The sequence below is a fragment of the Homo sapiens genome, chromosome 14 (genome assembly GCF_000001405.40).
Source record: "Homo sapiens chromosome 14, GRCh38.p14 Primary Assembly".
Taxonomy (NCBI): domain Eukaryota; kingdom Metazoa; phylum Chordata; class Mammalia; order Primates; family Hominidae; genus Homo; species Homo sapiens.
Genome location: NC_000014.9, coordinates 88,499,645 through 88,516,719, shown reverse-complemented (window position 1 = coordinate 88,516,719; position 17,075 = coordinate 88,499,645). Strand labels below are relative to the sequence as shown.

The window sequence follows — 17,075 nt, the reverse complement described above, 5'->3', positions numbered from 1 at the left end:
AATGTGCTGAAAGGCTCCTAGAATTCTCTGCCTCTAGCTATATTCTGTAGACCGGTTGGGGAGGGAGTACAGAGGAGAGGGAGGGAAGTGTTTAAGATCAGGAAATTTTGGCCAATAAGTGCACTTAATAGGGACAAAAGCAGAAAGGGAAGATGATATTAAGGAGCAGAATAGAGGAACTAAGTGTTCTTATTCTTTTTCCCCCTGAAGACAATGAAAAAAGGAATAAAATTTGAGTTCTTGAGCCTGCCTTTCAAAGTTCTGTGAATCCCATCACTACCTGACCTTTTTAACCCTATTTAATGTTACTTTTGAACGTTAAATATGTTCAAAAATGAAGTAGCTGTGCTACTTCAAGGGCCCGAAACATGCTGCACGCCCTTTCATCTTTGTGTCCTAGATCTTTCTCTCACATGTATTTACTGGAATCCTGTTTGCCTCCTGAGTTGTGGTTCAGAAGGTACCTCCTCCATGAAGCATCTATGACCCCAGGATAGAATGAGTTTTGGCTTACCACCTAGAATTTGATTCTACTTGTGTTAAGATGGTAATTGTCATACCCTGTTATTAGGATTGTCCGTGTATCTTTTTCCTAGGTTTTAGCCCATGTTTTCTTTAGCTTTACTTAATGATATCTTACACAGTGCCTTGCAGATAGTAAGAACCTGGTACTGTCCCATGTTTGTGGAGTGCTGTTTGAGTCTGCCAGTTAATGATTAGGAGAGAATGGAAAGTCAAAGCAGTAGGATCCAGTGGTAGGATAAACACAAACTGACTGTAAAAGTCTGAGATAGAAATATTGAAGAGAAAAGTGGAAGCCAGAAGGAAAAAGCCTGAACTGATCACTTTAACTCATTTAAACATTTACTGAAGATATGCTCTAAGAATTGTGTTGAATAGAGTGGGAGGTGAATATGCTTTAATCCCACCCTGGAGGAGCTGCTCACAGTCTGGTGGAATTGGCAGTTCATATAAATAGTTACAGTATCCTATGATAATAAATGCTTTAATTAAAGCTGTGGATTCCTAGGGGTGGGGCAAGGGGAACTTGAACAGGAAAGGTAGAGAGACTGACTTTTAAATTGACTTTAGAAATGTTCTAGAGGGAATAGTTTTTGCAAAGCAGGGGGAATAATCAAAATGATTACATGTCTTCAGGAAGTTTCAGGTATTACCTAAGGAGGTTTTAAAAATAGACATTAGCAATAAAGTCATGGTACAATGAGGAAGAGATTTTCAAATTTAATGGAATCATTAAATTTACATTTCACAAAGATCACCCATCATAGAAGGTAGATCAGAGATGGCAAGACTATAGGCAGGACACCAGTTTAGGAATACCTGTGCCATAATCTAGGCATAGGTTTACAATATAGAACTGAACAGAAAGGCATTAGCTGGATTGAGAGAGAATGGGCCTATTAGAGTCAATCAATAGGATTGCTCATCGATTAGGTATAGGAGCACCTGATAGAGAAGTTGTATCGGTAAGGATTAAGTATAGCTATATATAACAAAAACCCTAAATATCATTGACTTCTGTGAGAGTTCAGAAGTCAGCCTTGCAGAGCTTGTCTGACAGCTCCACAGAGTCTTCAAGGATGCTCGCACTTTCTCTTAGTGCTCCAGCATCCTCAGCGCATCCTTCCCATGCACTAGGTTACCTCTTGGTCCAAGATATCCAGAGTTCTGTCTATTACATCCATAGTCAGAAAGCAGATGAGTGGTTTCCTAGGAATGGGGTAGGAATTGGAGAGAAAGATTATGAGGGGTGCAAGGAAACTTTTGCAGTTGGTCAGTATGTTCCTCATTTTATAGTGATGGTTTCATGGATATATATATGTGTCTAAATTGTACACTTGAAATTTGAACAGCTTATTCGTATGCCAATTATACCTCAAAAATTGTGTTCTAAAAAAACCCACTCAAAGATATTGGAAGAAAACAAAGGGGGAGGGCCAGGCGTGGTGGCTCACACCTGTAATCCCAGCACTTTGGGAGGCTGAGGGGGCCAGATCACCTAAGGTCGGGAGTTCGAGATCAGCCTGATCAACATGGAGAAACGCCGTCTCTACTAAAAATACAAAATATGTCAGGTGTGGTGGCACATGCCTGTAATCCCAACTACTCGGGAGGCTGAGGCAGGACAATTGCTTGAACTCGGGAGGCGGAGGTTGCAGCGAGCCGAGATGGCACCGCTGCACTCCAGCCTGGGCAACAAGAGTGAAACTCTGTCTCAAAAAAAAAAAAGAAAAAAGAAAACAAAGGGGGAGAACAACAATCTGAATAATACATCTTCAGAAAGTGCAGACTTAACAGAAAAATATGACCATAAAGCAGCAGAAAACTGCCACCTGATACTACAAAATGAACTTAAAAAATTAAGAAAATAACATGATATGAAAGAACCATTTAAATCTGAATTAGAAAAGCTTGGGAATAATTCGTCTGTGTAACAGGTGAATATGAAAATAGCTGCAAAAACAATTAGAAATTTTGAAATGATAGAAACTATAAAAGTATAGAAGACAAGATAAAAAATAGATGTAATAGGATTCCCTAAAGGAAAAAGCCAAAACATTCTTCTAACAGTATGATCTAAGGCAAAACATTGGCAAAGAACAAATTCCAAAAACTATATAACAAATTGTATATTCTAGCTATAACACATTCTAAAAACTTCCTTGAAAGGAAAATGACTTGAAGCTCTCTATTGAAAAGGCATACTGTGTACCTGGTATGGTCAGTCCAGAGCAATCAGCGCCAACACATTCTGCAAAGTCACCAGAAATTGGGCATCCAGACTAAAACTGTTATAAAATTAAGAAAATAAGATTGGTATCAGACTTCTGGAAAAACACTTCATGCCAACAGACAAAAAAGTAACATTTAACATCCTCAAGGAAAGGAAATATGAGGCAATGATTATATATCTAGCAAAAACGACCTGCAAATATATCTTAGCATGGGCTGCCGTAACAAAATATTATAGACTGGGTAGCTGATGTATTTTCTCAGTTTGGAGATCTGAGCATGGTTGAGGTCTCATGAGGGTTCCCTTCCTGGCTTGCAGAACTTCTGGCTGGGTCCTCACATGGCAGAGCGAGCAAACACTTTGGTGCCTGGAGTTTTTACTTGCAAAAGAGGACATTTTGTTTCAATTGTCGATAATCATGCCTCAGATAAACCTCACTGGCTATGATACTACCACTGCACAAAGCTTGGAAATTTTGACCATCATAAAGAATACAACTGGGCTGGGCACAGTGGCTCACGCCTATAATCCCAGCACTTTGGGAGGCCAAGGTGGGTGGATCACTTGAGGTCAGGAGTTTGAAACCAGCCTAGCCAACATGGTGAAACCCCGTCTCTACTAAAAATACAAAAATGAGCCGAGTGTGGTGGCGCACGCCTGTAATCCCAGCTGCTCAGGAGACTGAGGCAGGAGAATCCCTTGAACCTGGGAGGCGGAGGTTGCAGTGAGCTGAGGTCACGCTACTGCACTCCAGCCTGGGCGACGGTGAGAGCCCATCTCAAACAAAACAAAACAAAAAAAAGAATACAACTGCATGGATTAAAACATACCAAATATATCTTAAAATTCATGAATTCATAATACTTTAAAAAAAACCTCATTGCTCACCTTTGAAACTTACTAGAGTACAATTCATTACTCTGAATGGCAGTAAGTTTATCCTATCTTTTCTTTATAGACTATATAAAGAGGTAACAATCATCAGTATTGGCTAAAACCTTTGGGTAAAGGGAACAGGCTGGCATCATCTGAACTCAGTGGGCAATGTCAGCGTCACTGTAAGTGGGACAACCAAATACCATTTCTTCTGATGTGATGCATCAGGAAGTACCAGGCACCACTGATGAAAATGACTAAAATGAACTTGTATCAAAGCAAGCTTCCAGTCTGCACTGTTCAGTAAGGTAGTTGTTAGCTACATGTGGCTAAAGTTAATTAAAATTAATACAATTAAAAATTTTCTTGCACTAGCTACAGTTCAGGTACTGAATAGCCACATGTGGCTAATGGCTACTATATTGGGCAGTGCAGATATAGATAATTTCTATCACTGCGGAATGTTCTGTTAGACAGTGCTGCTCTAAATCTAATGATTAGTTTTCAGGAAAGATGTGAGAACATGTAAACTTGCCAAATGACCCCATGAGACTACAATCAGAAAAGTCCAGAAGGCAGGAAATTCTACATGACAAATGGCTCCATTTCTGTTAATAACATGAAAATAAAAGGTAATAAAAACTTTCTTTTTTATAGCAAGAGATATTTAGAAACATCCATTAAATGTAATCTGTAGACCTTGTTTGGATTCTAATTTAAGAAAATTGTAAAAATGCATTTTTGAGGCAATCATGAAAATTGCATATGAATCAGGTATTGGGTATTATGAAGATGTTCATTTTGTTGGGTGTGATAAAAATGTAGTTACATTTTTAAAAAATAAAGCTTACCTTTTAGGGATATGTACTGAAGTACTTACAGGTGGCACGATGTCTGGGATTTGCTGTAAAACACTGGCGGTGGAGGGGGCAAAGGACAGGATGGATGCAGAAAACGTGGTAGGCATAAGGTTGATGGGTGAGGCACCATGATAAGGAGATGGGGTGACTATACTTAATGTCTCTACATATGTTTCAGAATTTCCAAAATAAAACTTAAAAAATAAAAATGCCGATGCCTACACATTGCCTTCTATTACTAGTCTAAGAAAAACAGATGAAGAAAAAAGGCTGCCTCTTCATACATTATTTGGAATTTCTGTTGTGCAAAATGGGGTCACCTAATTTATTATATAATTATTGTCATATATTGTATGAAATATTTTATATTGGAAAGTTGATCAGTAACTTCATAAAGATTTAGATAAAATATTTAATCAGCATATTTTGACTTTCGGGCAAGTTTATGGAATACTTGCTTTTGAATCAAAACGTGCAATTTCTTTTATTCCTTGGCTGACAGTTTTGAATTCAGGTCTGCATGTTACATTTTATTACTGCTTTGTTTTTTTCCTGTTATTTCATTCTTCTTGTTGCTTGGTTGCCAGGCTGGAGTGCAGTGGCGCTATCTTGGCTCACTGCAACATCCGACTCCTGGGTTCAAGCAATTCTGCCTCAGCCTCCAAAGTAGCTGGGATTACAGGTGCCCACGACCATGCCCGGCTAATTTTTGTATTTTTTAGTGGAGATGGGGTTTCCCCATGTTGGCTAGGATGGTCTCGACCTTCTGACCTCGTGATCCACCTGCCTCAGCCTCCCAAAGTGCTGGGATTACAGGCATGAGCCACCGCAGCAGGCCTGCAAAAATATTGAAATAACATATTTATAAGCCATCTTCAGCCCCACCAATATATAGAAATTTTAGCAAAAAGGTTTTTTTAATCACTTTAGTAGAAAGTGATAATGTCATTGAAGTGTAATTTCTTGGCCATCTGCTCCTACAGTAAATACTTCTTTAAGAAAAACGTATTTATGGCTGGGTGTGGTAGCTCATGCTTGTAATCCCAGCACTTTGGATGGCCGAAGTGGGAGGATCGCTTGAGCTCAGGAGTTTGAGACCAGCCCAGGCAACATAGAGAGACCCTGTTTCTACAAAAAATTAAAAAAAATTTAGCCAGCTGTGGTGGTGTACACCTGTGGTCCCAACTACTCAGGAGGCTGAGGCTCAAGGATCACTTGAGTCCAGGAGGTTGAGGCTGTAGTGAGCCCTGATTACGCCATTGCACTCCAGCCTGGGCTATAGAGCAAGACCCTGTCTCAAAAAAAAAAAAAAATCTATCTGTCTGTGTATCCATCCATCCATCCATTCATCCATCCTTAGTTGCTTCCATTAAAGTATTTGAGGGATAATACAATAACATATAATAACAACCACTTATGTTTTTTACTGTATGTTAGACACTGTCCCAAGTACTTTATTAATTTAATTCTCATAACAAATCCTGTGATGTAGGTGCTATTATCTCTATTTTGTAGATGAGGAAACCAAGACACAGAAGGGTTGAACACCTTGCCCAAGGTCACACTGCTAGTATATACTGGAACTGGGACTCAAGCAGGCTGGCTCCTGGGTCCTTGCTCTCGACCATTGTGTTTTGTGGACTGTCATGTAACATACTAAATGAATAAAAATACTAGAAATATCTATAACTGTAGATTTGTCGTGGTTAAGAACAAGACCTTTGGGTCATTGAGACCTGGGGATTCAAACTCCAGCTCAGTCTGGCTCTGTGCATTTGAGCATGTTGCTTAATCTCTGAGCTCCAGCTCTTCATCACTTAAAGGTAACTATTATTAAATAGTGGAGAAAGCAATTAAGAGGGATAGTAATGAGTGCGATTATGCCTGGATTTTAGCTGTGAGCTTAATGGCAGCCAAAGCAAAAGAAGAAATACGAGTTCCATCATTCATTATGTAACACAAAGAAGCATACCTGTTTGCAAGCATGATACATTTTCCTGGTATAGCATTTAAACAGAAACTTTGAGGTGTGATTTTTTATATAAGACATTGAACCAGAAATGAATAAGTTAGAGCAAATATGGAAGAGTCAATTCTCATAACAGTATAATGTAAGGCAAAAATATTTTTGTGGAAGGCTACATTAATTGGGTCCAAGTATGTTGCTTTTTCATGTTTTTTGTTTTTTGTTTTGAGACAGACTCTCTCTGTGATGCCCAGGCTGGAGTGCAATGGCACCATCTTAGCTCACTGCAACCTCTGCTTCCTGGGTTCAAGCGATTCTCCTGCCTCAGCCTCCCAAGTAGCTGGGACTACAGGCATGTGCCACCACGCCTGGCTAATTTTTGTATTTTTAGTAGAGATGGGGTTTCACCATGTTGGCCAGTCCGGTCTCCAACTCCTGACCTCAAGTGATCCGCCCGCCTTGGCTTCCCAAAATGCTGGGATTACAGGCATGAGCCGCTGCACCCAGCCCTTTCTAGTGTTTTTGATTTAAGGAAAAGTCCTAGAATATTTAGAATGGAATATGTGAATAGCATGTTCAATAGACAGACTTCCCTAAACACGCTCTCCCTCAGATAAGCTTCTGAAAGGAGCTGCCATATAGAAAATCTCAAGTTTTTCTCTTTGGTGGATCCCAGAACTGCCAGCATCCCATTAGCTATAGAGGGAAATCCATGGGTTTGGCTGTTAGCAGGTGGAAGGAGAAAAGCTGGATCCAAATTCTTCTTACTTGAATGGATGGTGTTTTGGTCAGGTTCTTTGGTAATAAAGAACAGAGGTTTACATGTCTGTGGCTGAAATAAGATGATAAAGACTCATATGAAATGATTAAAGGGGTGGGCTGTCAGAGGAATTCAAACATGAACTGTAACTGGGTTGCACTTCACAGGCACCAGATACGGAGGACAGTTTGGATTCCAGATGGCTCCATAGACTGCACTGGCAGAGTGTCTGTGATTTCCATTTAGTACGGTATCCCCAGCATCTAGAATAATGCTTAACATATAATAGACCCCAGTAATTACCTGTTGAGAAAATAAATAAAAGGAAGTAGTAAATCTTCACTCTAGAGCTTTATCAAAATGGAGAAGTGAGTGGCTTCAAGTACGTGATTGATAAGAGCTGCTGTTAGCCGGCTATGCTCTTGGTCCTTCACATATATTATTATTTGAGTATGTTCAGTCCTGTGAAGGGGTGATGGTACCCTCATTTTACTGGTGATAGAATTTAAATTCACCAGATTATGACTTGCCCAAGTTCGTGCAGAATACTAATTTGGAGAGTTCAGGTCTACTTGACTCTAAACCTTGTTCTGGTAACTGATGCCCTATATATTGAAAGTACAAACAGGGTGGTAAACAGAAGTAAACCCACATTACCAGATATTAAGAAAGCATCTTAACAGCTGTTTTGAGGGATTTCATCAGAAACATTTTAATATCAGCCTGGTCTGAAATATCAGAAACCATTTTTCTCTGGCTTTACTTTCCAGTGCTAGGGAACTTCTACCAAACAAGGTAAGCAAACTCTTATATTACTAAGTTACTAGTCAGAGTTTTTAAAGTAAAGATTAGCCACTGGCTTTCCATTTCTCCAACTAAAAAGAAATTGTGGGGACTGTTTTACAGGGCATGAAGCAGATGACTAATTGTCTTATAGGATCGTTTTAATTTTGAAATAACTATAATCTGGGATAAGTAATTCATCACATATACTTTAATATGTGTAAGTGTCATGTGGTTGAGGACTTTCTCATCCTTGTTTGAAACTGTCTAGGGGCTCTGTGTGGTGGTTCATGTCCGTAGTCCCAACATTTTGAATCCAAGCACTAGGATTGCCTGAGCCCAGGAGTTAGAGAACAGCCTGGGCAACATGGTGAAACTCCCATCTCTGTAAAAAATAGAAAAATTTGTCAGGCATAGTGGTATGCACCTGTAGTCCCAGCTACTCAGGAGGCTGAGGTGGGAGGATCACCTAAGCTTAGGAAGGTTGACGCTACAGTGAGCAGTAATCATGCCACTGCACTCGAGCCTGGGCAACAAAGGGAGACCCTATCTAAAAAAAAAAAAAAAAACACACACAACCATGTGGGATTAAGGTTTTATTTCACTGGTTTATGCTTCTCTACCAAATTATGGTTAAATGCATTGTATCTCAATGAGATAATATTGACATTGACCTTATACAACTGACATTTTTTATAGGTATCAGTATTATCTGCAACTGAAGAAAGATATCTTGGAAGGAAGTATTCCTTGTACCTTAGAACAAGCAATTCAGCTAGCAGGCTTAGCTGTTCAAGGTAAATAAGATCAATTCATAATGAAATGGTTCTATCAGATTAAAATGTGTTACAACAAAATAGCAAGGGATTTTTAAGTTATCTATCTATATACATCTTTAGTAGTGTTTATATATTAGTGAAATATTCTGTTATCTAAGGGGCTTCCTTTTGGGAAAAAATGAACTTGGAATACCTCAATGAAATATGAGACTTCTGGAAGTTAATCATGTTATAGGTCAACAGAGCAAACAGTACAATAAATAGAAGTATGTATATATGTGTGTATACACACACATATGTACAATCATATGCCGAATGACATTTTGTTCAACAAAAGACCTCATATAGGACAGTGGTCCCATAAAATTATAACACTATTTTTAGCGTACCTTTTCTGTGTTTAGATACACAAATACCATTGTGTTACAGTTGCCTACAGTATTCAGTACAGTAACATGCTGTATAGGCTTCTATGAGCAATAGGTTATACAATATAGCCTAGGTGTGTAGTAGGCTATACAATATAGCCTAGGTGTGGAGTAGGCTGCACCACCTAGGTTTGTGTAAGTATACTCTGATGTTTGCACAGTGACAAAATCTGATGATGCCTTTCTCAACACATTCCCATCCTTGACACATGACTATATACATATACATTTATTAATACTATGCTATGTATTCATCTAGTTCAAAGACTTTGTCTGCTAATAGGTCATATTTTAAGAAGAAAGATATGCCAGTCAGTGAGTTTGATGAGGTTATATTCGCTTACAGTTTAAGTACACTTCATATGTTTGGTTTCTTTTTATTTATTTCAATAGGTTTTTGGGGAACAGGTGGTGTTTGCTTACATGAATAAGTTCTTCTTATTTATTTAGTTACTTTTTTTTTTGAGATGGAGTCTCGCTCTATGGACCAGGCTGGAGTGCAGTGGCACGATCTCGGCTCACTGCAACCTCCTCCGCCTCCTGGGTTCAAGCGATTCTCCTGCCTCAGCCTCCCGAGTACCTGGGATTACAGATACCTGCCACCACACAGACCCAACTAATTTTTGTATTTTTAGTAAAGATGGGGTTTCACCATGTTGGCCAGGCTGGTCTCAAACTCCTGACCTCAGGTGATCCACCTGCCTCAGCCTTCCAAAGTGCCGGGATTATAGATGTGAGCCACCGTGGCTGGCTATGGTTACATGAATAAGTTCTTTAGTGGTGATTTCTGAGATTTGGCTGTACCCATCACCTGAGCAGTGTACCCTGTACCCCATGTATAGACTTTTATCCCTCACCCCACTCCCACTTGTTTGGTTTCTTAAATGGTTGTCCTGAATTATGCAGTAATAACATCAATCATAATAGATAAAGATGGCTGGGTGCGGTGTCTCACGCCTCTAATCCCAGCACTTTGGGAGGCCAATGTGGGAGGATTGCTTGAGTCCAGGAGTTCGAGACCAGCCTGGGCAACATAGCAAGACCTCATCTTTAAAATGTACATATATAAATAAAGATTCTGCATTTCACCAGCATTTTTGAATTGTTTATTTTTTTCATTTTTACATGTCTGATATACATGTATTTACATGTATGTGTGTATTTTCCTTTTTTTGGAGACAGTCTTACTCTGTTGCCCAGGCTTGAGTGCAGTGATGTGATCGTGGCGCACTGCAGCCACAACCTACTGTGCTCAAGTGATCCTCCCACCTGAGCCTCCCAAGTAGCTGTGACTACAGGTGTGCGCTACCATGCCTGGCTGATTTTTAAAATTTTTTATAGAGATAGGGTCTTGCTATGTTGCTAGGCTGGTCTCAGACTCTTTGGCTCAAGCTATCCTCCCTCCTTGGCTTACTGAAGTGCTGGGATTATAGGTGTGAGCCACTGTGCCTGGCTGGGAAGATTTCTGATGGGGCATTATTTCAAACAATAACTGGCATTTAGCCTTGGGAGTGAAATTTAATCAGAATAATTATTAATAAAACTCCTTCAGCTATAAGAAGGCATGGAGACATGTATCATTTTTAAACAAATGCCTGATGCACATGGAGCCACATTCCTTTTCAAGGTACTTTAGATTTTCTTAAGTATCACTTTTGGCTTTAAGAATTACTTTTTCATAAGCATTTTGCTGAATTGTCAATTTTTTAAAAAATATTAAAAATTTCAACACAAATATATCTTGCTGTAATATATTCAAGTGGTCTAAGTCTATTCCCCAGAGGTCATCAGTACTGTTGACAATTTGGTTTCTCCTTGACATTTTCCTGTACATAAGCAAGCATATATGATTACAGGGTAGGTTTTGTTTGCATTTTAACTGTAAAATGAGATCATATTACATAGAGCTTGCAACTTGTTTTTTTATTTAATTCATAGGCATTTTTCCAAGCCAAGACTCATATCTGCCTAATTAACACTTTTAAAAAGATACTTTAAAAATATACTTTATATAGCTATAACAAATTTGACTTCTGAAATATTAGCATACCATCTAGATATACTGCGTATTGAATTTTGTTGTGCATATTTTGCAATGAAATTTAAATATAATTAACGTGAATGTTTGTCATTCTATATAGCGGATTTTGGTGACTTTGATCAGTATGAATCCCAGGACTTTCTTCAGAAATTTGCCTTGTTTCCTGTGGTAAGACTTCTTTTGACACTGGGCCTTTTAAAAGAAACAGTTTATTCCTATACCCTTAATAATCCCTGAAATGAAATCCGTATGATAGACTTACTGTCAGGAATAGGATTATAAAAAAAAATTCCCTCTTATAAACATCTCAAGTGTGACTGCTTTCCCTGTTGTAGTCATCTTGGTCCTTGTGAACCCACAGAAACTGAAGGGTCTGTAGTCACTGCACTGTGCCTGGAGACATTTGTTTTCTATTTGTGAGTTTAAAAAGAAGGATTCATTTTCAGCTTCTCAGGAAGCATGCACAGGTTTTGCTTTTAACTGAAGGTTTGAAACCTTACAAAATTATATTGAGGAATGTCGCTTCTCATCAGCAATTTAAAAAGTAGATGACAAAGACACTGCCTTCTACTTTTATAAAGTCATTACTGATGGAAGGGACATGGAAACTGCATTGCAACAACTAAGGAAGGTGTGGTATGCTGTTCTGAGTGTCTACACAGTGCCAGAGAACGCACAAGATGTTTTTATCTTGCTGGGCTCAGGACTGGCTAACTACTGTCACCAACTTGACATAACTCAGCTGAAACTTTCCCTGGAATTGAGAAGGTGGGGCAAGTTTTTTTTTTTTGGCTCTTGTGAGAAGCCAGTTAATTCCTTAGAAAGATGATTACCTATGTAAACAAAGCTCCCATATAGTAACAATAGTCATAATTTTGCCTGATAGTGACGAGAGTCATTAACAGTCAATGGCCATGATTCCTTCTAAGAAATTGGGGTGAATTGTCACATACTTACCACTGTGTGTTTTCTTCAGGGATGGTTACAAGATGAAAAAGTATTGGAAGAAGCAACCCAAAAAGTGGCCTTACTACATCAGAAATACAGGTAACTCTAAGAAATAAGACATGGAAATAGCATAGAACCAATGTCTGCTTGAATTTGAAATATTCAATTAAATATTTAATTTACATGATTAATATTTATTTGCCCAACTAAATTTGGAACATTACTGCCACTACTATTACAAGTAGCCAACATTTATATAGCACTCACTGTGTGTCATGTGCTGTTCTAAGTAAGCACTTACCCATATTACTTATTTATTGTCCATGTTTTACCAGTGAGGACACTGAGGAAGTTGAAAGCAGCCAGTCATTGAAGGGTGCCCATTTTTTACTGCATGTAGTAAAGGTTTGTTTGATAACCTCAAACAAACCTGTATAGGTTAACGTAAAATTAGGATGATTTGTTTTCTTTTATGATACAGCTTAGCAAGTACAGGGTTACTTCCCTCTCTATACCTATGGAAGCTGTGTCTGTCACCTGGGGAGCTATGCTAAGAGCTATGGTGCTTATTACTCTGAACTATGCTTCTGCATACCTTTGTATACTTGTACATATTGACGTTCTTTCATGATGAATCTCTGTGTTGCCTGTAAGAAAAAATACTCTTCTGGATAATGCTAAGTCTTATTCTAAACCAACTACCACACAGTTCCACATATAGATGCTCCTTGACTTGTGATGGGGTTAAGTCCTGATAAACCCATAGTAAGTTGAAAATACTCTTTAAGTCGAGATGTATTTAATACACCAGTCCTGCTGAACATCATAGCTTACCCTAACCTACCCTACGTGTTCTCAGAACACTTATGTTAGCATACGGTTGGGCAAAATCATCTAACACAAAGCCTGTAATATATTTTATAATGTTGAATATCTCATATAATTTGTTGAATACTGTACTGAAAGTGAAAAACAGAATAGTTGCGTGGGTCCTCGAAGTACAGTTCCTACTGAATTTGTATCACCTTTGTACCACTGTAAAGTTGAAAGTCATTCAGTTGAACCATCATCGTAAGTTGAGGACTGTCTGTACTCTATCATTAAATTCTTATAACTACTCATTAAGATAAACATTATTATCTCCATCTTACCAGATGGGGAAACCAAGCTCAAAAAGATTTTGTTATCTCTGGCTGGGAGCAGTGGCTCACACCTGTAATCCCAGCACTTGGGAGGCTGAGGTGGGCAGATCACGAGGTCAGGAGATCGAGACCATCCTGGCAAACATGTTGAAACCCTGTCTCCACTAAAATACAAAAAATTAGCCAGGTGTGGTGGCATGCACCGGTAGTCTCAGCTACTCAGAAGGCTGAGGCAGGGGATTCGCTTGAACCTGGGAGGTGGAGGTTGCAGTGAGCTGAGATCGTGCCACTGCACTCCAGCCTGGTGACAGAGCAAAAAAAAAAAAAAGAAAAAGATTTAGTTACCTCTACGTGTGGTAGAGGTGGAAATTGAAAGCAGATCAGTTTCATTAGAACCTATTGCTTATCCCCTTCCAAATAAAATAAACTTTTGCCTCTAGTCTCTCTCCACTCAAATCCACACAGTGACTCACAAAAGATTAATCTCCCTAGAATATCAGTTTCCTCTTACCTCTCTCCTTCTCCTTCCACGTGCTCATGGGTATTTTCATGCTTTCTACTAGCCCAAGTTCATTACCCTGGGATTAAAGGCCTCCTACAAGTTGGTTAAATCCTGCCTTCCCAGCTTTACCTTCTGCTGGACAGCAGAACCACATGAACCATTTCTTTTCTAGCTTAATTGGTCCCTCAGGCACACATTGTCCTGCCTTTTGTCACTTCCATTTATTCATTTGTGCATTTCCTTAAAAGATAGCTTAGTGTTCTTATTCTGCATTAAGCAGAGGAAGAGTGCTGGATGCTATGACACAAAGATAAATAGAATAATTTCTTGTCTTCTAAGAGTGCATTCCCAGCCCTGCAATATGAGGGCTGGCAGGACAACCCACTATAGTAATTATAATACATATAAGAAGATAATGAGTGCAGTTAGAGGGGTATGGGCGGAATGTGTTGGGACTGCATGGAGCTGCGGCATTGGAGAATCCCAGAAGGTGATCCAGAGGAAATGATGCATAGACAGAGTCTTGAAGGATATTAGGGATTGGCCAGGTCCACAGGTGAGTCACAGGCACACCAAGAAGAGGGATTCTCATGTGCAAAAGCCCAGAGGGGCTAGGGAACATATTCTATCTGAAGAGATGCAGAGTTTGGGATGGCTGCAGTGTGGGTGCCTTGAGGACAGCGGGGAGCATCGGAAGATGAGGCTGGAGATGCAAGTCTGCATGCACTTGGGCACTCCTCCTTTACCCACACTGCCTTCCTACCCATCCTAGTAGTGTTGCACTCACCTGAGCAAAAAGGGGTTTTCATGTAGCCTCCTCGTACCCTTATTCCCTGCGTTCGACATTTAGCACATAATTCTCAGTAATGCCTCATATTTTGTTGTTTTTATTTTTGTTTTTTTTTGTTTTTTTGTTGCCCAGACTGGCATGCAGTGGAGCGATCATAGCTCACTGCATCCTTGAACTCCTGGGCTCAAGCAGTCTTCCCACCTCAGCCTTCCAAGCTGCTGGGACTATAGATGTGCACCACCATGCCTGGCTAATTTAAAACATTTTTTTTTTTGTAGTGACAGGGTCTCACTATGTTGCCCAGGCTGGTCTCAAACTGCTGGCCTCAGGTGGTCCTTTGTCCTTGGCTTCCCAAGGTGCTGCGGTTACAGGCATGAGTCACCATGCCCAGCCCTGATATTTGGGATAATAAGCAATTACTTGGTGGTTTAAGAAAAGTTCAAGATTTCACCCTAAGATTTTTTAGGGAGTTGTTTTATCCCCCACCTTCCCACTCATCTGCCTTAAGTATGGAGAGCAGGATCTCATGTGATACCCTCAGCATTCAGCACATACTGGTTTTCAGTAAATAGCAAGATTGATATAGCCAATTATAGATGCTTAGAAACGTGAAATGTTTATAATGTCTTATGCTAAATTGACATATAGGTTTTAAGAAAAGCTTTATTTTAAACCATTTTAAGCTTGCTTTGTGAACAATCTTGCTTCTTTTGGGTTGCAGAGGGCTCACAGCTCCTGATGCTGAAATGCTGTACATGCAGGAGGTAGAGAGAATGGATGGCTATGGAGAAGAGAGCTACCCTGCTAAGGTAAGTGTGGCTTGGCGGCTGGGGCTCTTTAAAGTTAGGCTTACAAATTTGAGAAAATCATGGGGAAATCCAAGGATGTCCTTATGTGCAAAGGCTGAGGACGTGCAAAACTCTGGAAACTTAAAAGCTGAGGTCCTGGTGACCAAAGTTTTGTGGTAAAACACATTCCCATTTTGTGGTTCATACTTTGAAATGGTCTTGAAATAGAGTTCCTAAGGAGGGCCAAACTTTTTCAATTTTTATACTTACCTATAAGATCATAGATCTCATTCAGACTTTTGTCTTCCTGAATAGTTACTCTGTAGGTCTTCGGAACTTTCTACATCTGGGAAACCAGTCCAGGGAACTCTAGCAGCAGTTCCTCTGCATCTGCTTCCTGGGTGTTTCTTCTTCTGCTTTCTCCTTGTAGGATAGCCAAGGAAGTGACATATCCATTGGAGCGTGTCTTGAAGGTATCTTTGTGAAACACAAGAATGGAAGGCATCCTGTGGTATTTAGGTATTTTTCTTACCTCTTTTTGTATGTTTTCTATGGCTCCTGTTGGTGATACATTTTTTAGTACTTACAGCAGTTAAATTGTTCACAAGTCTATACCAAGGTCTCATTAAAAAATGGAAATAATTCCCTTCCTAGGAAAAAAATACCATCTGAATGCAACAGTCCTTTTCAATAAGCCGCTTTCTTCAAAACTCTATGTCCAGAGTATAATGCCTATAATGACGGCCTATTATAAAATGCTTAAAAATGTGTGACCCTTTTTGTGCCATATGGAGGCCATTCTTTGCTTTGATATGAATGTTTAATTTGAGCTCTGGTTTCCAAGGCTATTTATTGGTTAATTTATTTATTGTGAGGCAAGGTCTCACTCTGTTGCCCAGGCTAGAGTGCAGTGGTACAGTCACCACTCACTGCAGCCTTGACCTCCCAGGCTGAAGTGATCCTCCCATCCCAGCTTCCTGAGTGGCTAGGACTACAGGCTAATGCCACCATGCCTGGCTAATTTTTGTATTTTTTGTGGAGACAGTTTCACCATGTTGCCCAGGCTAGTCTCAAACTCTTGGGCTCAAGCTATCTGCCTGCCTCCCACAGTGCTGGGATTCCAGGTGTGAGCCCACTGTGCCCAGCCTGAAGGGCTCTTTCCTATGAAAAATATAGAGCTTTGTTTTGACTCTAGTTTTGTACCAAAATTCCTAAAATACCAGTATCTAAGCAAATTTCAATTATTTTTTATAATGTTGGTTTTTTTTGCTGATATAAAAAAAGATACTATTCATTTGTGGAAATCTTGGAATGTGAAGCAAGTTGGAAAGAATATATAGCGATGTGCTAATAGTAACTGACTCTGAACAATGAAAGTACAGGTGATTTTAATTTCCTTTATAGTATTCTGTGTTCTAATTTGTATCTTAAAGATAGTAAGTTGGACCATATTGTACAATCCCCTACCTTTAATTCCTTAAAATCTGTTATCTGGAAAACCCAAAGTTCATGTCCAACCAAAAGCTTATATTGTTTTTATAAGGCAGGAAAACATATTCTATCACTTCTGTTTTTTGGTTCCTTTGTGTCTACCATTTGTTGAGTGCTTATCATGAGTCAGATAAACTATGCTGAGCATTTTTTGTGAATTTTTTTT

At 39.4% G+C, this 17,075-nt stretch overlaps 1 protein-coding gene, 1 long non-coding RNA gene and 1 pseudogene across 7 annotated transcripts in view; 1 reads left to right on the top strand and 2 right to left on the bottom strand.

Annotated features, from left to right (window-relative positions):
- PTPN21 (protein tyrosine phosphatase non-receptor type 21) overlaps window positions 1-17,075 on the top strand; it is an 89,230-nt gene that overhangs the window by 38,288 nt on the left and 33,867 nt on the right. For 3 of the 5 annotated variants that reach the window (NM_007039.4, XM_005267287.4, XM_011536367.4), the window contains exons 4-8: window positions 8,700-8,797; window positions 11,349-11,416; window positions 12,225-12,295; window positions 15,352-15,439; window positions 15,849-15,937. In NM_007039.4, coding sequence (NP_008970.2) covers window positions 8,700-8,797; window positions 11,349-11,416; window positions 12,225-12,295; window positions 15,352-15,439; window positions 15,849-15,937 — 414 coding nt within the window. Of the gene's footprint in view, window positions 1-4,132; window positions 4,264-8,699; window positions 8,798-11,348; window positions 11,417-12,224; window positions 12,296-15,351; window positions 15,440-15,848; window positions 15,938-17,075 lie in introns of all 5 variants that reach the window. The other 2 variants (XM_017020939.2, XM_011536368.3) reach the window with 2 other exon arrangements.
- On the bottom strand, window positions 1,218-15,853 carry LOC105370614 (uncharacterized). 2 transcript variants are annotated; one of them, XR_007064296.1, is made up of 3 exons: window positions 15,689-15,853; window positions 2,735-2,810; window positions 1,218-1,731 (listed from the first exon to the last, which is right to left on the bottom strand). It is a non-coding gene; the product is annotated as an uncharacterized LOC105370614 (long non-coding RNA). The 2 variants fall into 2 exon arrangements; XR_944123.4 differs by lacking the exon at window positions 15,689-15,853 and having other exon boundaries at window positions 2,735-3,222.
- Window positions 3,057-3,222, bottom strand: RNU4-22P (RNA, U4 small nuclear 22, pseudogene; annotated as a pseudogene).